This window comes from Homo sapiens, chromosome 5 (assembly GCF_000001405.40).
Source record: "Homo sapiens chromosome 5, GRCh38.p14 Primary Assembly".
Taxonomy (NCBI): domain Eukaryota; kingdom Metazoa; phylum Chordata; class Mammalia; order Primates; family Hominidae; genus Homo; species Homo sapiens.
In genome coordinates, this window is record NC_000005.10 from 126,599,473 (window position 1) to 126,627,352 (window position 27,880).

Genomic DNA, 27,880 nt, shown 5'->3' on the forward strand with positions numbered 1-27,880 from the left:
TCTCCCAAAGTTACATTGACAGGCCCAAGCACAGGAATAATTAAGGGCAGCTTGAAGGCTAAAAGCAAGATAGGGGTTGGCTAGATCAGATCTCTCCCACTGCCATAATTTTCTCACTGTTATAATTTTCGCAAAGGCGGGTTCCAAGATAACCCTTAAAGAATGGGGTGGGTTGAGGGAAGGGCCTCTCAGGCCGAGTGAACAGCAAATGCAGAGGCCTGGCCTGAGGAACAACAGGTTCAGCGCGCCAGCGGTTAGGCAGGGGGACACACTAGGACCAGTGACCAGATGCCCAGTCCACATGACCTTGTTTGCCATGTGGCAAAGTAAAACAGAGGTTCCTCTTCAAAAACTTTCCTCCCCGTCTAATTAGGAATAAATAGTAACTTCTCTTAAAAGCAAAATTTATTCAAAGATCTGTGCTAACATTCTTAAATATCTGCTAGCCATAATAAAAAAAAATGTACTTTATGTTCTTAGCTCCCACAATTTAGCCTAAATATTTGCCCTGGCATGCTTTTACTAGTCCAAGCAAGCATTAGGTCATAGCCTGTTCCTCTTCCTTATTTAAAAGTGTTTTCATCTTTCTCAGCATTCCACAAGTTACTTCCTCCTTCCTTTGTTCTCCTCTACCTTTGCCTCTTTTAAAAAGTTCTAAGTTGCTAGCCAATCGGGACAAATACAAAATGTGAGGTCCGGTCCAGCCAATAAAAACCAGCCACAGCAGTAAGGTAAACACGTCAGGTTATAAATGACCCTGTCTCCTTTTGTTCAGTGTACTCTCCTGGCAAAACTGCTGGCGAGTGTACCCTTTCTGCAGAAAGTAAAAATGGCCTTATTCAGTAAGTTAAATTTATGTTGCTATTTCTTTACGACACCGGAAAACAAACATTTCAAACACCATGCTGAGAACTCAGTCCTTGTTTTGGGGAGGGATGCACTTGGAAGATTCGAGCTAAGGTACAATCCTCCCTAGGTATCCGCGGGTCATTGTTTTCAGGACCCCCACAGATACCAACATCCGCCATGCTCAAGCCCCTTACATTATGTGGGGGTGCACGGTGGGTCCTTCCCATCCGCAGGTTCGGCATCCGTGGATGGGGAGTGGATACAGAGGGCGGACTATACAGCTTGAAAGGCTTCCCTGGAAGCAATATGTAGAGTGGATTGTGGAGGAGCAAGAACAGAAGCGGGGAGGCTTGTCCAGAGCATACAGGGGAAGGATGTACGGCCAAGGGAGGAATCCCAGACGACCGCGATACGTGACATATTTATGTTTGCACGAAAATAAAGTTTGGAAGAAAAGTGTTGGGGGAACAAGGGATTCATTTTCCCGGGGTAGTTGGAATGCAATGGGACGCCTCAGGCCGCTGGGACAGGCTGGCCTCCGCGCGGGGGCGCCCGAGCAGCCGAGCCGCCGGGCCTTCCGGCTGCCCCGCCGGAAGTGCTCTCCTGACCCGCCGCTGTGCAGCGCAGCGCACCGCGGGAAGATGGCGTTGGAGGTCGGCGATATGGAAGATGGGCAGCTTTCCGACTCGGATTCCGACATGACGGTCGCACCCAGCGACAGGCCGCTGCAATTGCCAGTGAGTGTGAAAGGAGGGTGGGTGATCGTGGCTGGGCGCGCGGAGCCTGGGCCCCGGGGAGCGCGCAGGCAGCGGTGAGGGTGAGGGGTGGGAGCTAGGAGCCCGGGCCAGAGCGAGGAGCCCAGGCTGTCGGGTCAGTGGCCGCAGAAGGGGCGAGCAGACGTCCCCCAGGCGGGCTCACGGAGCCCGGGCTGCGGGGGCCGAGGGGCGAGGGGCGACGGCGGCAGCGGCAGCGGCTGGCCGTGCGAACCCCGAACTGGCTGCTCCCTGCGAGGCGGGGCGCGCGAGCCCTGGCGCCTCCTGGAGGCCGGCTTGCGGCGGCCTCTTAGACGTCTCACCTCCGCCTACCGCTCTTTCTTTTCTAAACTTGGGGCTTCCCCACTCCATCGCCGCTAGGTAACCATAAAGGGGCAGATTTTGCCAAATATGTAGCATCTAGGGACATCAGCCTGAAACAGCCTGTGATGCTCATTTTCTCCCTGAGCCGAAGGGAGACTGAGGCCCAGGAATGAAGTTTATCGCTCACTCAAAGATCTGGTTTTCCATGTTTCCACCGAACCTAGCTTTGTCATGCGGTACCATGGCACTAGGCTTTTGCATTAGCCTCTCTGATTTTGTTTGTTGTTTTGAGGTGGTCTCACGCTGTTGCCCAGGCTGGAGTGCAGTGGCGCGATCTCGGCTCACTGCAACCTCCGCCTCCCGGGTTCAAGCGATTCTCCTGCCTCAGCCTCCCGAGTAGCTGGGATTACATGCGCCCGCTGCCACGCCCGGTTAATTTTTGTATTTTTGGTAGACGCGGGGTTTCACCATGTTGCCCAGGCTGGTCTCGAACTCCTGACCTCAAGTGATCGGCCTGCCTCGGCCTCCAAAAGTGCTGAGATTACAGGTGTGAACCACGGCGCCCGGCCACATCCAGCTAATTTTGTATTTTTAGTTGAGACGAGATTTCTCCATGTTGGTCAGGCTGGTCTCGAACTCCCAACCTCAGGTGATCCGCCCGCCTCGGCCTCCCAAAGTGTTGGGATTACAGGCGTGAGCCACCTCGCCCGGCCTAATTTTTGTATTTTTAGTAGAGACGGGGGTTCTCCATGTTGGCCAGGCTGGTCTTGAACTTCCGACCTCAAGTGATCCACCCGCCTCGGCCTCCCAAAGTGCTGGGACTACAGGCGCGAGCCACCGCGCCCGGCCCAGCTTCCCTGCTTTCTAAACGGGAATTTGTCTTGACTGCCTTGGTAGGTAGCAACCTCTTTGAGAGGGCGTTGGTGCCAGGCTGCCTGTGTTCAGATCCTGGGGCCACCGATGTGTGACCTACAGCAGGTTTATTTAGCCTCACTGCTTTTTGTCTACCTCTGTGGAATTGGCATGATGTACCACTGATAGGGTTATTGCAAGGATTCTGTGGAGCATACAGTGTGCAGTAATGCCTGGTAAGTGTTATCTCTGATTATTATTTGAAGATAGGAAGATAGATAGTCCCAACTTCCATTTCTAGCGTAGTAGGAGTTTAACAAAGACAAATACTTGCTTTTGCATATAAATGTTTAGGAAATTAGTACCAAGATATTTTGTTTTTCAATCTCAGGTTGTTTTTACATAAATTGACCCATGACTTGGTAAATAAACTTAATGCCGTGGACTCTGGGGTTTTAAAAATATCTTGCCCAGGCTGGGCGCGGTGGCTCACGCCTGTAATCCCAGCACTTTGGGAGGCCGAGGCGGGTGGATCACGAGGTCAGGAGATCGAGACCATCCTGGCTAACGCGGTGAAACCCCCTCTCTACTAAAAATACAAAAAAATTAGCTGGGCGTGGTGGCGGGCGCCTGTAGTCCCAGCTACTCCGGAGGCTGAGGCAGGAGAATGGTGTGAACCCGGGAGGCGGAGCTTGCAGTGAGCCGAGATCGCGCCACTGCACTCCAGCCTGGGTGACAGAGCAAGACTCCCATCTCAAGAAAAAAAAAAAAAATACATGCCCAGCCTGGGCAACTTGGCAAGACCCCGTCTCTACCAAAAAATGCAAAAAAAAAAAAAAAATAGCTGGGTATGGTGAAGGTTGCCTGTAGTCCCAGTCCCTCAGGAGGCTGAGGTAGGAGGATCGCTTGAGCCTGAGAGGTGGTGAGCCATGATAGCTCCACTGCACTCCAGCCTCGGCCACAGAACAAAACTTTGTCTCAAAAAAAAAAAGTAACAATTATTATGTATGTCATTTTAAAACATTCTGACAGTAACTGAAAAGTTTGAAATCTTTTAAAGGTGACAAGAGCTTTGGTAATATAGTAGAAGGAGATCTTAGAACAAAGTGCTGCATTAGTTGTAAAGATAAGAATTTGTGGCTTTTAAATTGGCAAATTCCATGTGGAACTTAGAAAAGTAGGAACTTGATTGGTCTCAGATTTGTCTTTGAAGATCAGTTCCATTTTGGAATGGCAAAGTTGAATCTCTAAATTTTTAAAAATTAGGTAGGTGGAGTTTATGTGTTTTGTGAAATTGATTGTGTTTCTTTTCACTTGCAGAAAGTGCTAGGTGGCGACAGTGCTATGAGGGCCTTCCAGAACACGGCAACTGCATGTGCACCAGTATCACATTATCGAGCTGTTGAAAGTGTGGATTCAAGTGAAGAAAGTTTTTCTGATTCAGATGATGATAGCTGTCTTTGGAAACGCAAACGACAGAAATGTTTTAACCCTCCTCCCAAACCAGAGCCTTTTCAGTTTGGCCAGAGCAGTCAGAAACCACCTGTTGCTGGAGGAAAGAAGATTAACAACATATGGGGTGCTGTGCTGCAGGAACAGAATCAAGATGCAGTGGCCACTGAACTTGGTATCTTGGGAATGGAGGGCACTATTGACAGAAGCAGACAATCCGAGACCTACAATTATTTGCTTGCCAAGAAACTTAGGAAGGAATCTCAAGAGCATACAAAAGATCTAGACAAGGAACTAGATGAATATATGCATGGTGGCAAAAAAATGGGATCAAAGGAAGAGGAAAATGGGCAAGGTCATCTCAAAAGGAAACGACCTGTCAAAGACAGGCTAGGGAACAGACCAGAAATGAACTATAAAGGTCGATACGAGATCACAGCGGAAGATTCTCAAGAGAAAGTGGCTGATGAAATTTCATTCAGGTGAGCATTTGAATTACAAATAAGTACTTGACCAGATGGCTTCTATTTACAGGAAATAAAATGAATGCCAAATACTTTAATGATATGTTCCTTTTTTTTTTTTTTTTTTTGGAGACAGGGTCTTGCTCTGTCACCCAGGCTGGAGTGCAGTTACTCACTGCAACCTCCGCCTCCTCGCTCAAGGGATTCTCTTACCTCAGCCTCCTGAATAGCTGGGACCACAGGTATGCACCCCCACGCCCAGCTATTCTTTGTATTTTTAATAGAGACAGGGTCTTGCCATGTTGTCCAAGCTACTCTCGAACTCCAGAGCTCAAGGGATCCACCCGCCTTTGCCTCTCAAAGTGCTGAGATTACAGGCGTGAGCCATGGGCTGGCCTAATCTATTTATTTATTTATTTATTTGAGAAAGGATCTCACTCTTGCCCAGGCTGGAGTGCAGTGCTGCAATCACACCTCACTGGAACCTAGAACTCTTGGGCTGAAAGGATCCTTCCACCTCAGCTTCCTGAGTAACTGGGACTACAGGCTCAGGCCATTATGCCTGGCCAATTAAAAAAAAAAAATTATGGCCAGACAGAGTGGCTCATGCTTGTAATCCCAGCACTTTGGGAGGCTGAGGTGAGTGGATCATGAGGTCAGGAGTTCAAGACCAGCCTGGCCGACACAGTGAAACCCCATCTCTACTAAAAATACAAAAATTAGCTGGGCGTGGTAGTGGGCGCCTGTAATCCCAGCTACTCGGGAGGCTGAGGCAGGAGAATCACTTGAACCCGGGAGGCGGAGGTTGCAGTGAGCCGAGATTGTGCCACTGCACTCCAGCCTGGGTGACAGAACTAGACTCCATCTCAGAAAAAAAAAAAAATTAGGAGTTTCACTGTGTTGCCCAGGCTGGTGTCAAACTCCTGGGAACAAGCAGTCCTCCCACATTGGCCTCCCAAAGTGCTGGGATTATATGCATCAACCACTGCGCTGTCCACAGATTTTTTTTTTTTTTTAAGAGATGGTCTTGCTCTGGTCACTCAGCTGGAGTGCAGTAGCACAATCAGAGCTCATTGAAGCTGAACTCCTGGGCTTAAGCAATCCTCCTGCCTCAACTTCCCAGATTGCTGGGATTATAGGTGTGAGCCACTGTACCTGAGTCTTTGAAAATTTTTCTTTAAGGAACTGGGATAATTTGGTTATATGAATACATTCGTAATGTATTTTTCTGTTGGTTTTTTGTTTATGAGACAGTCTTGCTCTGTCACCCAGGCTGGAGTGCAGTGGTGGTATCCTGGCTCACTGCAACGTCCCCTCATGAGAATTGCTTGAACGTGAGAGAGCCACCTGAGTAGCTGGGACTATAGGCATTCGCCACCACACCCAAATAATTTTTTTTTTTTTGTATTTTTAGTAGAGATAGGGTTTCATTATGTTGGCCGGACTGATCTCGATCTCCTGGCCTCAAGTGATTTGCCTGCCTTGGCCTCCCAAATGCTGGGATTATAGGCGTGAGCTGCGCACCCACTGTGTTTTCTTAAATTTGGACAAGCCTGATAGAATAATTTTGTAGACTTTTATGAACTGTTAAACAACTTGTTGCATTTAGTGCCATAGAGCTTTTTAAATAAAGCATATATTTTTAAATCATGGGTTGTTTTTGTTTGTTTAGTGTTTTCAAGAATTTGTGACTTTTTTCTTAACTTTGAGGTATATTTTACAGATAATATTCACCCATTTCTAGTGTTAATTTTTTTAGGAAACATATCAAGTTGTATAACCATCACCTCTGAAACATTTCTGTCACCCAGTAAGATCCCTTATGTCCACATGCCAGTTTATAGTTAATCCCTGTTCTCATTCCCAGATAACTGCTAATCTACTTTCTGTCTATAAATTTGCCTTTTTTGGATATTTCATATAAATGGTGTCATGTAGTATGTAATCTCGTGCCTTGCTTCTGTCAGCTAATGTTATGTTTTTGTTTGTTTTTGTTTTTGTTTTTTTGTGTGTGTGGTTTGTTTTTTTGATTGTTTGTTTGTTTGTTTGAGACAGAGTGTCACTCTGTTGCCCAGGCTGGAGTGCAGTGTCACGATCTCAGCTCACTGCAACCTCCGCCTCCTGGGTTCAAGCAATTCTCATGCCTCAGCCTCGTGAGTAGCTGGAATTACAGCCATGTGCTACAACGCCCAGCTAATTTTTATATTTTTTAGTAGAGACAGGGTTTCGCCATGTTGGCCAGGCTGGTCTCGAACTCCAGACCACCTCAGCCTCCCAAAGTGGTGGGATTAGAGGCGTAAGCCACTGTGCCCAGCCAATGTTGTGTTTTTGAGATTGATCCATGGTGTAGCAGGAATCAATACATTTTTATAGTGTGTGTATATATGCATATATTCATATTGAATATTCTACTTTTTGGCTATCATGAATAATGCTGTTATGAACCTTCACATCCAGATCTTTAAACACATATTTTCATATCTTTGTTTTCTTTTGTTTTGTTTTAGACAGAGTCTCACTCTGTTGCCCAGGATGGAGTGCAGTGGCATGATCTCAGCTCACTGCAACCTCCGCCTCCTGGGTTCAATCAAATCTCCTGCCTCAGCCTCCCTAGTAGCCGGGATTAGAGGCGTGCGCCACCACGCCCAGATAATTTTTTTTTTGTATTTTTAGTAGAGACAGGGTTTCACCTTGTTGACCAGGCTGGTCTCAAACTTCTAACCTCAGATGATCCACCCCCTTCGACCTCCCAAAGTGTTGGGATTACAGGCATGAGCCACCTCACCTGGCCATATTTTCATTTCTTTCAGGTAAATACCCAGAAGTAGAATTGCTTGGTGTATGGTAAATTTACAATTCATGTATTTTTACCAAGTTCAGATTTTGAATTAACATTTTCATTAGCTCTAAATTACTAATGAACAGTGTCATAAATTTGAAAACAGATACGGTTCAAGAGTAATGCAGGTGGTAGGAAAACAAGTATTTACTTTCCAGGCAAGCCTATCTGAACACCAGTACTTGATTTTTAAAATACTGGGGAAGTTTGGAATTTGAGTGCTGGAAAGAAACTTAGAGATGTTGTAAACCAAAACCTTCATTTCACAGATTAATATTAGACCTGGAGTTAAACCCTGATCCTTGTGTTCCTAGTCTATTTCTCTTTCCACAAAAATGCACTGCCTCCTGTTGAGAAGAAACAAAGGGTGCCAGGTCTGAATTCTTTTTTTTTTTTTTTTTTTTTTTTTTTGAGACGGAGTTTCACTCTCGTTGCCCAGGCTGGAGTGCAGTGGTGCCATCTTGGCTCACTGCAACCTCTGCCTCAGCCTCAGGGTTCAAGCAATTCTCCTGCCTCAGCCTCCCAAGTAGCTGGGATTATAGGCATGTGCCACCACACCCAGCTAATTTTGTATTTTTTGTAAAGACGGGGTTTCTCCACGTTAGTCAGACTGGTCTCGAACTCCCAACCTCAGGTGATCCACCCACCTCGGCCTCCCAAAATGCTGGGATTATAGGTGTGAGCCACCACACCCAGCTGAATTCTTGATCTGTTGAGAGTGTGAGCTTTGACACTGGAAGAATTACTTAGGCTACCTATGTTTCTAACCTCTCAGTGACAAAATGAAAACGATAGTACCTATCTTGTACATTCTTGAGAGAATCAGCTGGCATAGTGCATGTAAGGTTCTTAGGATTGTGCTTATTATAATCATAATAAGCCATCAGTAAATATTAGCTGTTTCTATTTTTTGTTCTGAGGCAGGGAGTCTATGAGGGAAAGGTCCTATCCCATTTTAAAGCTCCAGACATCTCTGGAATTATGTGAGCCTTAGCTTTTAGGCGTAATAATTGAAAGTATATATGTCTGTTATTTATTTTGACAATAGTGGACTGCCTTTATCATCTTTTGCATTCAGACCTGCATTCATCGTGCTGCATGTGCATTTTGAAATCTGCTATAATCCAATAAGACAAATAAGCCAATTATGAGAGTTTAGATGGAAACTTGAGGTTACCATCTCCTTCTGTGACCCAAGATTAGGAATATTTACATGTCAGTGATTCCAAGATTAAATATTGAAGATTTAGAAAACCAAAAGTTACTAGAATCAGATTTTTATTCTAGCTGGTGACTAAGGTAGATTTCTTCAACTTTGTACAACAAACAAAGAGGATAATTTTACTTGTTTCTCATCAGGTTACAGGAACCAAAGAAAGACCTGATAGCCCGAGTAGTGAGGATTATTGGTAACAAAAAGGCAATTGAACTTCTGATGGAAACCGCTGAAGTTGAACAAAATGGTGGTCTCTTTATAATGGTAAGACTGCTTAACTGTTTTTGTTTTTGTATTGTTTATCCTGTGTTTTTGTTTTTGATTACAAATTTAACTTTGCCCTTGTTGGATCTGTGATTTATCATGCATTCTTACAGTATGTTTGAAGTTTTTAAACTATTATCAACAATGAAGACTGTTAAAAAAAAATTAGTTGCCAGGCACGGTGGCTCAAGCCTGTATTCCTAGCACTTTGGGAGGCTGAGGCGGGCCGATCACCTGAGATCGGGAGTTCGAGACCAGCCTGACCAACATGGAGAAACCCTGTCTCTACTAAAAATACAAAATTAGCCAAGCGTGGTGGCACATACCTGTAATCGCAGCTACTCAGGAGGCTGAGGCAGGAGAATCACTTGAACCTGAGAGACCAGAGGTTTCAGTGAGCTGAGATCGCACCCTTGCACTCCATCCTGGGCAACAGGAGCGAAACTCCGTCTCAAAAAAAAAAAGAATAAAAAGAAAAAAAAATTAGTACAGTTGTTTTTGCAGTTAGTACTTCCCTGACAAAAAAACAAACAAACAAACATAAATTATAGCCTGTTGCCGTATAGTCACCAAAACATTTCTTACATGATTTGTTAAAGGTAGGGGTTGAATTTTTTTTTTTTTTTTTTTTTTTGAGAAGGAGTCTCGCTCTGTCGCCCAGACTGGAGTGCAGTGGCGCAATCTCGGCTCACTGCAACCTCCGCCTCCCGAGTTCAAGCAATTCTCCTGCCTCAGCCCCCCAAGTAGCTGAGATCACAGGCATGCACCACCACACCCGGCTAACGTTTGTATTTTTAGTAGAGACGGGGTTTCACCATGTTGCCCAGGCTGGTCTCAAACTCCTGACCTTAGGCAATCCACCCAGCTCGGCCTCCCAAAGTGCTGGGATTACAGGCGTGAGCCACTGCACCCGGCCAAAGGGTTGAAGTTTTAAGACGACAAAGTCTAGGGGAGCCTAGGAGCTCAGATCTTGAGAATATGGGTTTTAGAGTTTGGGTACCCTTTTTTACTTCTAGATTTTCAACATACTAATTGAAATTCGGCTAAGTTGTTTGACTTCTTGGAGCCTCAGTCTCCTCAGCTGTAAAATGGAGATTAGTCCTACATTTTAAGGATTAGAGGAGATGGTGCACATGAAATACTGACCACAGTGCCCAGCACTTTAGCAATGGTAAACAGAAGTGTTCATTTTGGTTCACTTAATTCATGCATTCTTGAAAAAGAGGGCAAAAAAAAAAAACAAAACACCCTTTTTTTTGTTTGTTTGTTTTTTGAGACGGAATCTCACTCTGTCGCCCAGGCTGGAGTGCAGTGGCACGATCTCAGCTCACTGAAACCTCCATCTCCCGAGTTCAAGCAATTCCCCTGCCTCAGCCTCCCAAGTATGCTGGGACTATAGCCTGCCACCACGCCCAGCTAGTTTTTGTATTTTAGTAGAGGCAGGCTTTCACCATGTTGCCTAGGCTGGTTGAGAACTCCTGAGCTCAGGCAATCCGCCTGCCTCGGCCTCCCAAAGTGCTGGGATTACAGGCTTGAGCCACTGTGCCCGGTCAACACTTTTGTTATGTAAGCACAGATAGATACACAATAAAGTACAAATAGGTATACAGTATTTTTGTGTGTATTAAAATTTCCTGGGTATAAGAATGAAAGTTGGGGGAAGTCTAAAAAGTTCCTGGGGTGGTAGAGCAATAATGGGAGAAAAGTTTGAGAAGCTCTTTACTGTTTCAGAATGACAGAAAGAGCTCCTCTGGCTAGGCCAGATCACGAGCACTGGCGGTTATAGAAGGGTTTGGCATATCTCATTGAATTCAGCTTTCACCACAGGGTGAGGATGAAGGTTTGAATGACTTCCTTGTTTTTTGTTACTGATAAGTCTGAATACTGTAATAACATCACAAGGGAGTAGATCAATATTGTGCTTTGGACATGGGGAGAAAAAAAACCCAGTTAGGATTAATAGCATTGGCTAAGGAAACAGCCTGTGAACATAAATTACAGAAGTCAAAACAGAAGTTAGCAACAAAAGAAATTATAATAATCATGAATGCACTGCCATCCCTATTTGTGTCATTGTTAAAGTACTTCAATTTTCATTCAGTTGAACACAGAGTTACAGATTTCATCAATATTTTAGTACTGTAGTGATAAAACTTTATATTCCAGTGAGCTAATGCAGATTTACTGAATATTGGGAAGATGCAAGTTCAAATTTACTTTCTTATTTTATTTTATTTTTTGAGACACAGTCTGGCTCTCTTGCCCAGGCTGGAGTACAGTGGCGCGATCTCAGCTCACTGTATCCTCCACCTCCCAGGCTCAAGCCATCCCCCACCTCAGCCTTCTGAGTAGCTGGGATTGCAGGTGCGTGCCACCGCGCTTGGCTAATTTTTTGTGTTTTTAGTAGAGATGGAGTTTTACCATGTTGCCCAGGCTGGTTTTGAACTTGTGAGCTCAAGGAATCTGCCCACCTCGGTCTCCCAAAGTACTGGGATTACAGGTGTGAGCCACTATGTCCAGCCCCCAAATTTACTTTCTTTTTTTTTTTGTTTTTTTTCTTTTCGTTTGTTTGTTTGTTTGTTTGTTTTGAGATGTAGTTTTGCTCTTGTTGCCCAGGCTGGAGTCCAATGGCGCAATCTTGGCTCACCACAACCTCTGCCTCCCGGGTTCAAGCGATTCTCCTGCCTCAGCCTCCCAAGTAGCTGGGATTACAGGCATGCGCCACCACCCCGGCTAATTTTGTATTTTTAATAGAGACAGGGTTTCTCCATGTTGAGCAGGCTGGTCTCAAACTCCTGACCTCAGGTGATCTGCCGGCCTCGGCCTCCCAAAGTGCTGGGATTACAGGCGTGAGGCACCACGCCCGGCCTCCAAATTTACTTTCTTTGGATACATTATTTCCTTGAATTCAGTGCTTTCTACGTGCCAGGCACTGTTCTAGAGGAGGGAGCTTATGTTGTGGTTGGGGGAAAGGAAGACAGTCTATAAACAATAAATATAACTTCAAGTATGTTAAAAAGTGATACATTGACCAGATGCACCTGTAATCCCAGCACTTTGGGGGGCCAAGGAGGGTAGATTGCTTGAGTACAGGAGTTCGAGACCAGCCTGGGCAACATGGTGAAATCCTGTTCTACAAAAAATATGTATACATATATTAGCCAGGCTTGGTGGCACATGTGTTTAGTCCCAACTACCTAGGAGGCTGAGGTGGGAGGATCACTTGAACCTGGGAGGTCAAGGCTGCAGTGAACTGTAATCGTGCCACTGCGCTCCAGCTTGGGTGACAGAGCGAGACCCTGTCTCGAAAAAAAAAAAAAAGTGATACATCCTATGGGAAAAGAAAGAAATCAGATGGAGCTATAGGGAATAGTAGCAGAGAGGAGGACGTTGCAGTTAAACTAGAGTGGTCTGGGTAGATGTTATTAAGAAGGTGCAATTTGAACAAAGACTTGAGGTGAAGCAATGAATACTGCAGGAAGAATAGACCAAGCAGAAGTAACAGCTATTGTAGAAGTGAAGGGTGCCCAGCAAGGCCAGAACTAGCATGAAGTGAGCAGTTTACTTGCTTTAGGTTCAAAATTTGACAGTGCCTTAAAAACTCAATAATCAAAATAAATAATATTTGAATGTACCAGTTCAAAAATCAAAATTAATGCAAAAAATCCATAATGGACAAAATTTTAAAGATAGGCTCTTACCCTGTACTTGGCAAGACTGCTCTCTCCACCCTAATCTCTACCTAGTTCCTGTCTCAACAAGGGGCCAATGTGGCAGGAGCAGAGTGCATGAGAGAGTGAGTAGGATATAAGGTCAGAGAGATAATTGGGCCAGGTCTAGTGGGAACTTGTTTGCCATCTTAAGGAATTTTCCTTTTACTTTAAATGAAATGGCCCATAGAGGGTTTTGAACAGATAAGAAATGCATTTCCTAGGCCGGGCGTGGTGGCTCACACCTGTAATCCCACCACTTTGGGAGACCGAGGTGGGCGGATCACCTGAGGTCAGGAGTTGAGACCAGCCTGACTAATGTGGAGAAACCCCATCTCTATTAAAAATACACAAAAATTAGCCAGGTATGGTGGTGTATGCCTGTAATCCCAGCTACTCAGGAGGCTGAGGCAGGAGAATCGTTTGAACCCGGGAGGTGGAGGTTGCCATGAGCCGGGATTGCGCCATTGGACTCCAGCCTGGGCAACAAGAGCGAAACTCGGTCTCAAAAAAGAAAAAGAAATGCATTTCCTTTCCGCTGCTGTTTTGAGAATAGACTGAACTGGGGAATAAGATTAGATGCAGGAAAAGCCTTTCCAATGGGTCTGACCAGCATGGTAGCAGTGGGGTGAAGGAAAAGTGGTCAGATTCTGGGTATATGTGGAAGATACGGCCAACAGAATTTCCTAGTGGATTAGATGGAGGATGTAAGAAAAGGAAGAGTCAAAGATGACTCCAAGGTTTTTAGCCAGTTTGAAGAGCAATATCCAAAAATTCACATTGGCTTCAAAGTCTCAAAAGTCTATTTAACATGAACATGGAAGGGTATGTATAATGGATTGTTTAATGAAAAGACAGATTAGAAACCAATTGGCCAGGCGCAGTGCCTCATGCCTGTAATCCCAGCATTTTGGGAGGCTGAGACGGGCATATCACCTGAGGTCAGGCGTTCGAGACCAGCCTGTCCAACATGGTGAAACCCCGTCTCTGCTAAAAATACAAAAATTAGCCGGGTGTGGTGGCATGTGCCTGTAATCACAGGTGCTCGGGAGGCTGAGGCAGGAGAATTGCTTGAACCTGGGAGGTGGAGGTTGCAGTGAGCAGAGATTGTGCCACTGCACTCCATCCTGGGCAACAAGAACATGACTCTGTCTCAAAAATAAATAAACAAGCCAATTTATATGACAGAATCCCATTTGGGGTTGGAGTTACAAATATATGTGGCATATAAAAAAGTAAAAAGATGTCCAGGTGTGGTGGCTCACACGTGTGTAATCCTGAGACCAGCCTGGGTGACATGGTGAAACCTTATCTCTACCAAAAAAATACAAAAATTAGCTGTATGTTGTGGCACATGCTTGTAGTCCCAGCTACTTGGGAGGCTAAGGAGGTGGGAGGATCCCTTGAGCCCAGAAGGTCGAGCTGCAGTGAGGCATGATCACACCACCTCACTTCAGCCTGGGTGAAGAGCGAGACTGTGTCAGAAAAAAGTAAAAAGATTATATGTGTCAAAATGTTACAGTGATTACCTATGGTTAGTAGGATCATGGGTGGTTTTTTTCTTTTCTTTTTCTTTCTTTCTTTTTTTTTTTCCTTTTTGATACAGGGTCTCACTCTGTCATCCAGGCTGGAGTACAGTGGCACAATCGCAGGTCACTGCAGCCTCGACCTCCCTGGCTCAAGCAGTCCTTCCACTTCAGTCTCCCAAGTAGCTGGGACTATAGGCTTAAGCCACAATGCCCAGCTAATTTTTGTATTTTTTGTAGAGACAGGGTTTCACCATGTTGCCCAGGCTGGTCTCAAACTCCTGGGCACTCAAGCAATCCATCTGCCTCTAGGATTACAGGTGTGAGCCATTGTACCCCGCCTATTTTTTCTTTTAACCGCATGTTTTTGCTACTTTTTCTGCAATTAACATATATTTGAGACAGTCTTGCTCTGTCACCCAGGGTGGAGTACAGTGTTGCCATCTCAGCTCACTGCAACCTCTGCCTCCCAGATTCAAACAATTCTCCTGCCCTCAGCCTTCTGAGTAACTGGGATTACAGGCATATCCCACCATGTCCAGCTAATTTTGTATTTTTATTAGAAACAGGGTTTCACCATGTTGGCCAGGCTGGTCTCAAACTCCTGACCTCAAGTGATCCACCCGTCTCGGCCTCCCAAAGTGTTGGGTATAATACCCAACACCCAACCCGTGAGTCACCGCACCCGGCCACAAGTGTGTATATGTACCTATTTCCTTATTTTTAAAAATTCAGTTATTTGAATAGGCAACCAGTTCACATGGTAAAACAAGAAAGAGTATCAAGGGCTAAAGGGAGGAGGCTAAGGGAAATTTATGTGTACAGAGTTTCAGATTTGCAAGATGAAACAGTTTTGGAGATCTGTTTTATAACCGTGTAAATATACTTTACTACTGAACTGTACACTTAAAAATTGTGAAGATGACAAAATTTTTTTGTCATGTCTTTATTATCACAATAAAAAATCAGTAAAAGAGTGTGTAGTGAGAGGCTACCCGGACCACACCTATCCTTGAGCCACCCAGACTCCTCTCCAACACCCATTATTTTTTTTGAGATGGAGTCTCGCTCTGTCACCCAGGCTAGAGTGCAGTGGTGCGATCTCGGCTTACTGCAACCTCTGCCTCCCGGGTTCAAGCGATTCTCCTGCCTCAGCCTCCGAAGTAGCTGGGATTACAGGCACACACCACCACGCCCAGCTAATTTTTATATTTTTAATAGAAACAAGGTTTCACCATGTTAGGCTGGTCTCAAACTCCTGACCTCATGATCTGCCCACTTTGGCCTCCCAAAGTGCTGGGATTACAGGCGTGAGCCACCGTACCCGGCCCTAACACACTTGTTTTTACACAAATGGTCATATACTATGCATACTATTCTATACCTTGCTTTTTTTTTTTAACTTAATTTCTCTTAGAAACCTTATCAAGTATGTAGAGAGCCCCCTCATTCTTTTTTGCAGTTGCTAGCATTCCAGTGAATAGTTATATCATAATTTATATGACTATGTGTATATGACATACATGCTCAGTCGATCCTCATTATTTGTAGATTTTATATTTTCAAATTTGCCTACCTGGTAAAAGTTATTCATAACCTCAAATCAATACTAGTGGTGGTTTCACAGTCATTCACAGATGTGCAGTGTCTAAAAAAATTTGAGTTGTCCGACATGCACATGCTTAGCTGAGGTCAAACAGGGCAACATTGCTTTGTTTCAGCTTCCATACTATAAACAGGTGTTCTTTTCAAGGTCTATTTTAGTGCCATCTTTTTCACATTCTGTGCTTTTTTTTTTTTTTTTTTGCGCCCCTCTGGGGATTTTGCTGTTTAAAATGGCCCCTCCAAGGGTAGTGCTGTAGTGCCAACTAGTGTTTCTAAGTGCAAGAAGACTGTGACATGCGTTAGAGAGAAAATATGGTTAGATAAGCATCGTTTAGGCATGAGTTATAGGCTGTTGGCCACTAATTCAATGTTAATGAATCAACAATATGTTTTCAATAAGGTGTCTTTAAACCAAGATACATACAAGGTTATATACTGATCTGTTGACAAAAGTGTTGTCTATCAGAGGCTTTCAGGAACCTAACCCTGTATTTTTCAGAAGGAATGTTTCAATATTTGCTAATTCAATGTTTGCAGCAACTTTATAAAACGTAACTACCATGACTATTGAGAAGCCACTGTATGTGTGTATATATATCTGATTTATTATATATATACATTTAAATATTTGATCCCTTTGGAATATATCTTGGTATAAGACATGAGGTGTGAATCCAACATAATATTTTCCATGGTGGCTACCCAGTAGCTCAACCACCAACTTTTTTTTTTTTTTTTTTGAAATAGAGGTTTGCATGAGACTTTGTCTCAAAAAAAAAAAAATGAAATGGAGGTTTGCTCTTGTCGTCCAGGCTAGAGTGCAATGGCACAGTCTCGGTTCACTGCAACCTCCACCTCCTGGGTTCAAGTGATTCTCCTGCCTTAGCCTCCCAAGTAGCTGGGATTACAGATATGTGCTACCATGCCCAGCTAATTTTTGTGTTTTTGATAGAGACAGGGTTTCACCATGTTGTTGACCAGGCTAGTCTTGAATTCCTGACCTCAGGTGATCCACCCGCCTCGGCGTCCAAAGTGCTGGGATTACAGGCGTGAGCAACTGCGCCCAGCCTCAAATGCCAATTCTTGAATAATACATTTATCTTCTCCAATTTAAGATAGTATCTGTATCATAGACTAAATACCCATATATATTTGGCTTTTTTTTCTAGGTTTTCTATTTTGCTTCACTGATCATTCTAGTTTTATTTTGGAACCATACTGTTTTAATTATTTAGAGTTTATGATGTGTTTTAACATCTAATAGAATATTCATGGTGGGTGCGGTGGCTCACACCTGTAATCCTAGCACTTTGTGAGGCTGAGGCGGGCAGATCGCCTGAGGTCAGGAGTTTGAGACCAGGCTGGCCAACATGGCGAAACCCCGTTTCTACTAAAAATACAAAAATTCGCCAGGCGTGGTGGGGAGTGCCTATAATCCCAGCTACTCAGGAGGCTGAGGCAGGAGAAACGCTTGAACCCCGGAGGGCAGAGGCTGCAGTGAGCCGAGATCGCGCCATTTCACTCCAGCCTGAGCGAAAGAGTGAAACTCCATCTCAAAAAAAAAAAAAAAAAAGAATATTCACTGACTTAGCCAGGTGGCAGATTAAAACAGAAAATCCAGTCATTTGTTAGGTCATTTGAGCTGAGTGGCCTATTTCTCTTTGTTACCATATAGATTTTTTAAATCACGGAATTTCAGAATTAAAAAAGACCAAATATTTTTGGCCTTCATTTTATAGATGAAGAAACTGAAACTCATATTTCGGTAATTTACTCATGTTACCTATTTTGTAAGAGTCAGAATCAGGACTGGACTTCAGATCTGGTATTTCTTCTATCCCCTTAATTGTGTCTCTGTTAAAAGATGCCTTGACCATTTATGGGAAGAGTATATGCAGTTTACCTTTTCTGTTCCTTTTTGTAGAATGGTAGTCGAAGAAGAACACCAGGTGGAGTTTTTCTGAATCTCTTGAAAAACACTCCTAGTATCAGCGAGGAACAAATTAAGGTAATGATAATGTCCTCACCTCTTAAGCGCCATCATAATTTGACTTCTACTCACCCTCTACCTTCATTTTCTATGGATATGCATTACCTGTTCTGCCTTCAGTGGACTGATTTTGTTATTATCTTAAGTAACATTTATGCCTTTTATTTATTTATTTATTTTTGAGGCGGAGTCTCACTCTGTCACCCAGGCTGGAGTGTAGTGGCATGATCTCAGCTCACTGCAACCTCCGCCTCCCGGGTTCAAGTGATTCTCGTGCCTCAGCCTCCCAAGTAGCTGGGATTACAGGCACATGCCACCATGCCTGGCTGATTTTTGTATTTTTAGTAGAGACGGGGTTTCACCATATTGGCCAGACTGGTCTCAAACTCCTGACCTCAAGCAGTCCGCCCGTCTCGGCCCCCACAAAGTGCTGGGATTACAGGCGTGAGCCAGTGCTCCCAGCCAGCCTTTTATTCTTTGTAGAGACGGGGTCTTGCTGTGTTGCCCAGGCTGGTCTTGTACGTCTCGGCTCAAGCAATCCTCCTGCCCCAGTCTCCCAAAGTGCTGCAATTACAGGCATGAACCATTCTTTCTTTACCTATACACTTTTTATTTGTTTCTCTATTTCTTTCTTTCTTTTTTCCCCTTGAGACAGGGTCTAAGGACCTGGCTCTATTGCCCAGGCTGGAGTGCAGTGGCGCAATTTCTGTTCACTGCAGCCTCTGCCTCCTGGGCTCAAGTAGTCCTCCCACCTCAGCCTCCAGAGTAACTGGGAGTACAGGCATATGCCATTACACCCAGCTAATTTTTGTATTTTTTGTAGAGATGTTGCCCAGGCTGGTCTGGAACTCTGGGCTCTAGTGATCCACCCACCTCAGCCTCCCAGAGTGTTGGGATTATAGGCATGAGCCACCACGCCTGGCCTATACAGTCTTTTCCTGTTCCATGTGGAAATAAATAACAAGCATCAGATGCTTAGTTCTAATTATTTGAACAAGCGTAAGGGCAGGCAATGAGTCTGGAGTGAGTGTACAGTTAACACTTCAGCTTGGTGCCATCCCCCACCAAAAAAAAAATACAAAAAAAAAGTATCTCCCAGTAATGACAATACCCTACATAACCACAAGACCCATTATCACTCCTAAGAGAAATAAAAACAATTTCATAGTATTCAATATCTAGACCTTATTCCAATTTCCTAATTTGTCCCAAGAATATATTTTATATACTTTCCCCCTAAGCAGAATACAGTCTAGGTTTCCATATTCCATTTGTTGTATCTCCTCCTGTATTATATATTTTTAATTAAATTTTTTTTTTTAATTTTTGGAAACAAAGTCTTTTTTTAAAAACTGTTTTTTTTTTTTTTGAGATGGAGTCTTGCTCTGTCGCCAGGCTGGAGTGCAGTGTCATGATCTCGGCAACCTCTGCCTCCCGGGTTCAAGCAAGTCCCCTGCCTCAGCCTCCTGAGTAGCTGGGATTACAGGCTTGCGCCACCACGCCCAGCTAATTTTTTGTATTTTAGTAGAGATGGGGTTTCACCATGTTAACCAGGATGGTCTCGATCTCCTGACCTCGTGATCTGCCTGCCTTGGCCTCCCAAAGTGCTGGGATTCAGGCATGAGCCACCACGCCCGGCCGGAGACAAAGTCTTACTCTGTTGCCCCAGCTGGAGTGCATCATCACAGCTCACTGCATTCTTGACCTCCCTGGTCTTAGATGACCCTCAGCCTCCCAAGTAGCTGGGACAACAGACATGCACCACTATGGCCAGCTAATTTTTGTATTTTTTGTAGAGACGGAGTTTCTCCATGTTGGCCAGGCTGGTCTCCAACTCCTGGGCTCAAGCAGTCCTCCCACCTTGGCCTCCGAAAGTGCTGGAATTACAGGTGTTAGCCACCTTGCCTGGCCCTCCTTTATTCTTTTTAACCCCACATTTTCCTTCATGATTTAGACCTTTTGAAGAGTTAAAGATGGTTAGGTCAGGCGTGGTGGCTCCTGTCTGTAATTCCAGCATTTTGGGAGGCCGAGGTGGGCAGATCAGTTGAGTTCAGGAGTTCAAGAGCAGCCTGGCCAGCATGGTGAAACCCCGACCCTACTCAATACAAAAATTAACCAGGCATGGTGGCGGGCGCCTGTAATCCCTGCTACTCGGGAGGCTGACGTAGGAGAATCGCTTGAACCTGGGAGGTGGACGTCGCAGTAAGCCGAGATCACACCACTGTACTCCAGCCTGGGTGACAGAACAAGACTCTGTCTTTAAAAAAAAAAAAAAAAAGTTACAGGTGGTTATCTTACAGAATATTAGGTTACCTTATTATATTTTGGTGATTGTCTCCTTGTGGCTTTCATTCATTCTTCTGTCTCCAGTATTATAAACTAGAAGGTGTAGACTCTTTAGTATTTTAAATCATGTTTGTGTTACTGGGAATATCTTTTACGGACATTCTTCTACAGTATGGATTTTTCAAAACTTAAAATTTGTTTTCTTTTAATTTGTTAATCCGAGAACATGATTTGCACTTAGCATTTATTCATAGACTAAAGATTGAGAACTAAACTCTTGCATAGGAAAGAGGTGGTGCACATCTATCACAGCTGTTGTATTTGAGTAGCCGCACATTTTCCTTATGATAACAATGGTGATAAAGGTAATAGGAATGTGTCTTTTAGCCATACTGACTGTAATGCTAATGATGACAGATAAAGCAACTTACCTTGAGCTGGTCCAGGTAATTGCATTTTGCATCTGCTCAGTGTTCTTTTTCCTTAAGTTTTCTGGCTGTTCTCTTAACAGTCATTTTAATAGAGTCTGCTATATTGACATTCCTATAGGAAATGTTACTGTAAATCTAAAATCTCTAGTAACTACTTTTTTCATTTCATTGTAACAACTGTTTCAGTAACATGATTTGTAACAATGTAAGTTTCCTTAGGAACACAACTGTTGAGTGGTAGCAAAGATTATACTCTAATGTTCTCTCCTCTCACCCAAAGTAATTCTTGACAAAAAGTATGTACTTAAAAGATACCTTCTAAGTAACTAAACCTTGGACAAATAATATTCTCAGGCAGGAGAAAAGAAATACTGTAACATTTATTGATTTCCTCCCACTGGACCAAAGATTAATATTATATAACTTAATCTTCACCACATTGTATCACCGTGAATGTTACAAATGGAGAATAATCAAAATTATATGCCTGAGATCACACAGACCACTCTGACTCCAAAACCATGTTGGAGTTATTTTCACTGTATTATGTCTTTGTAATTCAGTTATTCCAGCTCATTTAGGGAAAGGATTTTAATACTAGAAAGTTTTTATGTCAAACTACCAGAAACTTTGCATTATAATAACAAAAAATAGAAACACTTGGAATATCTAATAATAGGGAAATGTTGACTTACAAGGACATTCTTTTGTTTGTTTGTTTTTTTGAGACAGAGTCTCACTCTGTCCCCTAGGCTGAGTGCAGTGGACGATCTCGGCTCACTGCATCCTCCGCCTCCCAGCTTCAAGCAGTTCTCTCACCTCAGCCTCTCGAGTAGCTGGGATTACAGGCATACCACCACACCCGGCTAATTTTTGTATTTTTAGTAGAGACAGGGTTTCACCATGTTGTCTGGGCTTGTCCCAAACTCCTGACTTCAGGTGATCCACCCTCCTCGGCCTCCCAAAGTGCTGGAATTACAGGAGTGAGCCACTGCGCCTGGCCAAAAAATTCTTTTTAAAAAGAGACGGTTTCACTCTGTCACCCAGGTCTCACATTATGTTGCTCAGACTGGTCTTGAACTCTGGGGCTCAAATGATGTTCATGCCTCGGCCTCTCAAAGTGCTGGGATTACAGGTGTGAGCCACTGTACCTGGCAGTTTTGTTTTGTTTTGAAGAGGTAGGTCTCCTGCTATCACTCAGGCAGGAGTCCAATGGCACTATCGTAGCTCACTGTAGCCTCAAACTCCAGGGCTCAAGTGACCCTCTTGCCTCAGCCTCCTTAGTAGCTGGGACTGTAGGGCACATGCCATCACTCTCAGCTTATTTTTAAAATATTTTGTAGAGACAGGGTCTTATATTGCCCAGTCTAGTCTCAAACTCCTGGCCTTAAGCAATCCTCCTGCCTGGGCCTCCCAAAGTCCTGGGATTACAGGTGTGAGCCACCATGCCTGACCAATAAAATTTTATTATAGATCATTTATTTCAGATGCCACCTAAATGATGATGTTATAATTATTCTTTTAATTGCTATATTGCTAACAGTCACCATATGTAGAACTTAGAAGCCAGAACTTGACTAAGTTTGTTTTCCTGTTTTAAAATTCCATTTGGGTACATGACCTCACAATTAAGTTTTGTTTTGAAAAATACAAAGTTTTCTGAAGGAAAAAAGCAATAGTTAAAACTTTATTTGCTTTGTTCAAAGAAAAAAAAAAGCTCAGCTAAAACACTAGAGTTAGATCCTTAACTTGGAGAGTTAAGTATATATAGATATGGATGGGAGGGGGGAAATTTTCCCTCAAATTACCTGTCTGCATTTGTGATAAAGATATTAACAACATGTTGCAACAACATTTTGGGGACCATTTCCCACTTTGTTCTATTAAATTCATAACGCATGGGAATGAAGTTTGTTTTTATTTTGTTTATTGTTTATTTTTTTAATTTTTGAGACGGAGTCTCCTAGCTCTGTTGCCCAGGCTGGAGTGCAGTGGTGAGATCTTGGCTCATCCTGGGTTCAAGCAATTCTCCTGCCTCACCCTCCCAAGTAGCTGGGATTACAGGTGCCCGCCACCACGCCTGGCTAATTTTTGTGTTTTTGTTTGTTTGTTTGTTTTTTGAGATGGAGTCTTGCTCTATCGCCAGGCTGGAGTGCAGTGGCGCGCTCTCGGCTCACTGCAACCTCTGCCTCCCGGGTTCAGGTGATTCCCCTGCCTCAGCCTCCCAAGTAGCTTGGATTATAGGCTCGCACCACCATGCCCAGCTAATTTTTTGTATTTTAGTAGAGATGGGGTTTCACCATGTTGGCCAGGATGGTCTCGATCTCCTGACCTCGTGATCCGCCCGCCTCAGCCTCTCAAAGTGCTGGGATTACAGGCGAGAGCCAGCAAACCCAGCCTAATTTTTGTATTTTTTTTTTTTTTTTTTTTTTTTTTTTTTAGTAGAGATGGAGTTTTACCATATTGGCCAGGCTGGTCTCGAACTCCTGACCTCAAGTGATCTGACCACCTCGGCCTCCTGAAATGCTAGGATTACAAGAATGCGCTACCACACCTGGCCAAAGTTTCTTTTTAATAAGGCTTGCCATATTTGGAGAGAAAAGGGCAGTTTCGTAAAATTTACTCAGTGTTACCAAGCATTATACTACTTAGAATTCTTAGCAAGATGCTTGGATATGCTTCCATATAAAATGAAAATGCTTCTACTGTGGCTTCTTCATATTCTTTGAATTAAAGGTAAGTGAACTCTTGGAAAAAATTGCAAATCATCACACTTTTGTGAAGGCAGTATAATAGATTTTAAGAACATTGGGCCGGGCGCGGTGGCTTACCCCTGTAATCCCAGCACTTTGGGAGGCCGAGGCAGGTGGGTCACTTGAGGCCAGGAGTTGGAGACCAGCCTGGGCAACATGGAGAAACCCCATCTCCACTAAAAATACAAAATATAGTTAGGTGTGGTAGCTCACGCCTGTAGTTCCAGCTACTCTAGAGGCCAAGGCATGAGAATTGCTTGAACCCTGGAAATGGAGATTGCAGTGAGCCGAGATCAGACGACTACACTCCAGCCTGGGTGACAGAGCCAGACTCTGTCTCAAAAAAAAAAGAAGAAGAAAAAAAATAAGAATGTAGGAGAAATCAGCAGCTACTTGGGATGCTGAGGCGGGAGGATTGCTTTAGTCCAGGAATTCGAGGCTGCAGTGAGGTATAATTATACACTGCACTCCAGCTTGGGTGACAGCGAGGCCCCATCTCTATCAAAAACTTTTAAAAAGGAGAATATTAGAGAAATCATATGTGAGTTCAGACTTCATACCTTCACATGGTAGCCCTGTAATCTTGTGCCTCATTTTCCACATCTGAAAACAAGGATAGTTAACTACCTCATAAGGCTTTTGTGAGGACGAAATGAGTTAATGTGTGTGTAAAGTCCTTAGCAAAATGCCTGGTACGTAAAAGTACTCACTTGATAACTGGTAGCAAGCCTCATTATATTCTGAATTTACCTTTGTCTTTTCTCACGTATGTACCCTCCTTCTCCCTCCTCAGTTCCTCCTCTTTAGCAAATACTTTTCTTATTTCTCTTCATCAAAACACTCATATTCTGAAGTTTCCCCTTACCTCTTCATTTCAAAGATCTTTACACCTTCCTCTGTTAATTCTGTGTGCTGCTTGTAACTATTTAGCATAAATTTTAGGAGAGAGTCTCCTTCATCCCACCATCTTCCATAGTGCTTTTTATAAACAAGAAGGGATTGGGATTTGTATTCTTTAAGAATATAACAGGGACTGGCTTGGCTTGAGCTTTTTGGAATCCCTGCCCAGGAGATAATAGGGTCCCAGAAGTGTGTCCTGCCTACACTAGCTTCTTTTTTAAACCTTTGAACCGTCTCTGTTTTAGTACAGGTTGACAATCCCTAATCTGAAAATCCAAAATGCTCCAAAACTTTTTGACTTTTTGTTTTGGTTTGGTTTTGGGTTTTTTTTTTTTTTTTTTGAGACACAGTCTCGCTCTGCTGCCCAGGCTGGAGTGCAGTGGCACAGTCTCGGCTCACTGCAACCTCTGTCTCCTGGGTTCAAATGATCCTCCTGCCTCAGCCTCCCTAGTAGCTGAGACTACAGGTGTGTGCCACCACAGCCGGCTACTTTTTGTATTTTTAGGAGAGACAGGGTTTCACCATGTTGGCCAGGCTGGTCTGCAACTCCTGACCTCAAGTGAACCACCCACCTCCGCCTCCCAAAGTGCTGGGATTACAGGCATGAGTCACCATGCCCAGCCTTCATTTAGGAAATTTTTAACTGTAGAGATGATACATTAAGGTAGAATAAGCATGGGCCCTAAACCTAACACTAGGCTGGGTTTAAATCAGTTTCAATCTTGCAATGAGTACTTACTTAATATCTTGAACTCCATCTTAATAATGAGCCTAATAATACTTGTATTTTTTGTAAGAAATGGAGATAATGATTTTAAAGGGACAGTCATGGAATAAACCTTTAATAACGTGGTAGTTCTTGTTTACTAACTTTGTTCCTTTATTACAGGACATTTTCTACATTGAAAACCAAAAGGAATATGAAAATAAAAAAGCTGCTAGGAAGAGGAGAACACAAGTGTTGGGGAAAAAGATGAAACAAGCTATTAAAAGTCTAAATTTTCAAGAAGATGATGATACATCACGAGAAACTTTTGCAAGTGACACGAATGAGGCCTTGGCCTCTCTTGATGAGTCACAGGAAGGACATGCAGAAGCCAAGTTGGAGGCAGAGGAAGCCATTGAAGTTGATCATTCTCATGATTTGGACATCTTTTAAGTACATTTTCAACAGTTTGAGGACTAAGCCTTTCTAAAATAACATTGTAATAAACCATTTTTACTGAGATTGCAACGTTTTGCACTGATAAACATGAGAATCTGGAGGAAAGACAATTGTTTTCTTGTTTAAAATATGTGTGGAAAGGAATGCAATTGATAGAACATTTAAAGATATATCTGACAAAATACTTAAGAGTATATAGCACAGGATTTAATTTCTCAATCTGTTGCATGTGCTAATTATGAGTATTACTAGTTGATAATCAGTTTTGTCTAGGTCATAACATACCATTTGTAAGTTTGTTTGCTTTTTCAGGTTTATCTTTGCAGTGAATTATGCTTTGCTTTAAAACATTCCGCTAAAATCATAATGGGACATATAAATTATTAAGCTGTTAGAAATGCATTCAAATTTGTTTTTTCTGTGTTCTAAGAACTCAGGCAATTTTAAGGATAAAAACTAACATTGGCCAGGCACGGTGGCTCACGCCTGTAATCCCAACACTTTAGGAGACCAAGGCGGGCAGATCACTTGAGGTCAGAAGTTTGAGACCAGCCAGGCCAACATGGTGAAACTTCATCTCTACTAAAAATACAAAAACTAGCCAGGTGTGGTTCTCCATGCCTATAATCCCGGCTACTCGGGAGGCTGAGGCAGGAGAATCACCTGAACCCGGGAGGCAAAGGTTGCAGTGAGCTGAGATCGTACCACTGTACTCCAGCCTGGGCGACAGAGCAAGACTCTGTCTCAAAAAAAAAAAAAAATACAATTAAGAGGTGTATACTGATGATTCTTCCCACTCATTTGTTTGTCCAGAAGTAAATAAATGTCGGAAGTTTTCCAAGTAACTATTTGTTTTTTGGGGGGTTTTTTAGTTAGAGTCTTGATCTGTCACCCAGGCTGGAGTACAGTGGCAGGATCTCAGCTTACTGCAGCTTCCATCTCCCAGGTTCAAGCGATCATGTGCCTAAGCCTCCTGAGTAGCTGGGATCACAGGTGTGTACCACCACGCCCAGCTGATTTTTGTATTTTTAGTAAAGACTTTCGCCATGTTGTCCAGGCTGGTCTCGAACTCCTGGCCTAATGATCTGCCCACCTCTGCCTCCCAAAGTGCTGGGATCACAGGCATGAGCCACCGAACCCAGCCTTATTCTGCTTAAATTTAACGTGTTTTTTGACTTCTTAATTAACTTGGTCATATACTAAATGTGATCTCCTGTGGATTACCACATGCATTAAAAAATTTTTCAAGCTGGGCCTAGTGGCGCACACCTGCAATCCCAACACTTTGGGAGGCCAAGAGAGGAAGATTGCTTGAGCCCAGGAGTTTGAGACCAATCTAGGCAATGTAGTGAGACCCTGTCTCTAATTTAAAAAAGAAAAAGAAAAAAACATTCCCAGTGGCAGCCTGCCTAAGACTGTCTTACCTTATGTTAAGGAAGTCAGGTATTTAAAATGTTACATATGCCGGCGCAGTGGCTCATGTGTGTAATCCCAGCACTCTGGGAGGCTGAGACAGGTAGATCATTTGAGGTCAGGAGTTCAAAACCAACCTGGTCTACATGGTGAAACCCCATCTCAACTAAAAATACAAAAAATACAAAAAATTAGCCGGGCGCGGTGGCTCACACCTGTAATCCCAGCACTTTGGGAGGTGGAGGCGGGTGGATCACAAGGTCAAGAGATCGAGACCATCCTGGCCAACATGGTGAAACCCTGTCTCTATTAAAAATACAAAAATTAGCTGGGCGTGGTGGCGCATGCCTGTAGTCCCAACTACTAGGGAGGCTGAGGCAGGAGAATCACTTGAACCCAGGAGGTGGAGGTTGCAGTGAGCCGAGATCACGCCACTGCACTCCAGCCTGGCGACAGAGCGAGACTCCCTCTCAAAAAAAAAAAAAAAAATACAAAAAATTAGCCGGGCATTGTGGTGCATGCCTGTAATCTCAGCTATTTGGGAGGCCGAGGCAGGAGAATCACTTGAACCCAGGAGGCAGAGGTTGCAGTGAGTCGAGATCGTGCCACTGCACTCCAGCCTGGGTGACAGAGCAAGACTTTGTCTCAAAAATAATAATAGTAAAATGTTACATGTGCATGAAGTTTTAAATTACTCATTTTTATTAATGAAGAAAATAAGGTAGTTTAGACATTCCAAGAGTTAACTATAGTTTACAAAAATATATTAAGCAAAAATATGCTTGATATATTAAGCAGAAATGTTGTATATTAAGCAAAAATGTAAAATTCAGCAATTATAAACTGTTCCTTACAGACAGTGTACTTGAAGTCTTTTGGTAGTTCTGAGAATGTGGTCATTGAAGTTGGATCTAAGAGGAAAGTGGTTATCGGTTGCTTTTTATTTATAAAGGATGCAAAAATAAAATTAGATTTTTGGCAGTCCTTAATGAGCTTCAAGTGATTATATTTTTAAATCTTGAATGTTTTTTCATAAAAATGCTATAGCCAAGAAAAATATTTTTAAAAGGTAATTGGATATTGACCCTA

At 43.4% G+C, this 27,880-nt stretch overlaps 1 protein-coding gene across 1 annotated transcript, besides 8 other annotated features; it reads left to right on the forward strand.

Moving 5' to 3' along the window:
- Positions 557-1,406: an enhancer, noted in NCBI's record as "H3K27ac hESC enhancer chr5:125935721-125936570 (GRCh37/hg19 assembly coordinates)". NCBI's record gives its function as "activates a minimal SCP1, AML or CMV promoter by ChIP-STARR-seq in naive H9 embryonic stem cells {active_cell/tissue: H9 hESC(naive)}" and the evidence as "EXISTENCE:reporter gene assay evidence [ECO:0000049][PMID:30033119]".
- Positions 557-2,254: a biological region, named in NCBI's record as "hESC enhancers GRCh37_chr5:125935721-125936570 and GRCh37_chr5:125936571-125937418".
- Positions 1,313-1,522: a silencer, noted in NCBI's record as "silent region_16282". NCBI's record gives its function as "represses an Ori minimal core promoter by ATAC-STARR-seq in GM12878 lymphoblastoid cells {active_cell/tissue: GM12878}" and the evidence as "EXISTENCE:reporter gene assay evidence [ECO:0000049][PMID:35858748]".
- Positions 1,407-2,254: an enhancer, noted in NCBI's record as "H3K27ac-H3K4me1 hESC enhancer chr5:125936571-125937418 (GRCh37/hg19 assembly coordinates)". NCBI's record gives its function as "activates a minimal SCP1, AML or CMV promoter by ChIP-STARR-seq in naive H9 embryonic stem cells {active_cell/tissue: H9 hESC(naive)}" and the evidence as "EXISTENCE:reporter gene assay evidence [ECO:0000049][PMID:30033119]".
- Positions 1,475-27,780, forward strand: PHAX (phosphorylated adaptor for RNA export). The gene is made up of 5 exons (NM_032177.4): positions 1,475-1,586; positions 4,098-4,711; positions 8,892-9,012; positions 17,778-17,861; positions 25,103-27,780. The coding sequence occupies exons 1-5, from the start codon at positions 1,491-1,493 to the stop codon at positions 25,370-25,372; spliced, it is 1,185 nt and encodes a 394-aa protein (NP_115553.2). The 5' UTR covers positions 1,475-1,490; the 3' UTR covers positions 25,373-27,780.
- Positions 1,643-1,892: a silencer, noted in NCBI's record as "silent region_16283". NCBI's record gives its function as "represses an Ori minimal core promoter by ATAC-STARR-seq in GM12878 lymphoblastoid cells {active_cell/tissue: GM12878}" and the evidence as "EXISTENCE:reporter gene assay evidence [ECO:0000049][PMID:35858748]".
- Positions 2,255-3,103: an enhancer, noted in NCBI's record as "H3K27ac-H3K4me1 hESC enhancer chr5:125937419-125938267 (GRCh37/hg19 assembly coordinates)". NCBI's record gives its function as "activates a minimal SCP1, AML or CMV promoter by ChIP-STARR-seq in naive H9 embryonic stem cells {active_cell/tissue: H9 hESC(naive)}" and the evidence as "EXISTENCE:reporter gene assay evidence [ECO:0000049][PMID:30033119]".
- Positions 19,027-19,559: an enhancer, noted in NCBI's record as "H3K27ac-H3K4me1 hESC enhancer chr5:125954191-125954723 (GRCh37/hg19 assembly coordinates)". NCBI's record gives its function as "activates a minimal SCP1, AML or CMV promoter by ChIP-STARR-seq in naive H9 embryonic stem cells {active_cell/tissue: H9 hESC(naive)}" and the evidence as "EXISTENCE:reporter gene assay evidence [ECO:0000049][PMID:30033119]".
- Positions 25,331-25,531: a silencer, noted in NCBI's record as "peak5456 fragment used in MPRA reporter construct". NCBI's record gives its function as "represses an SCP1 promoter by STARR-seq MPRAs in K562 erythroleukemia cells {active_cell/tissue: K562}" and the evidence as "EXISTENCE:reporter gene assay evidence [ECO:0000049][PMID:32103011]".
- Positions 27,781-27,880: the final 100 nt, after the last annotated feature.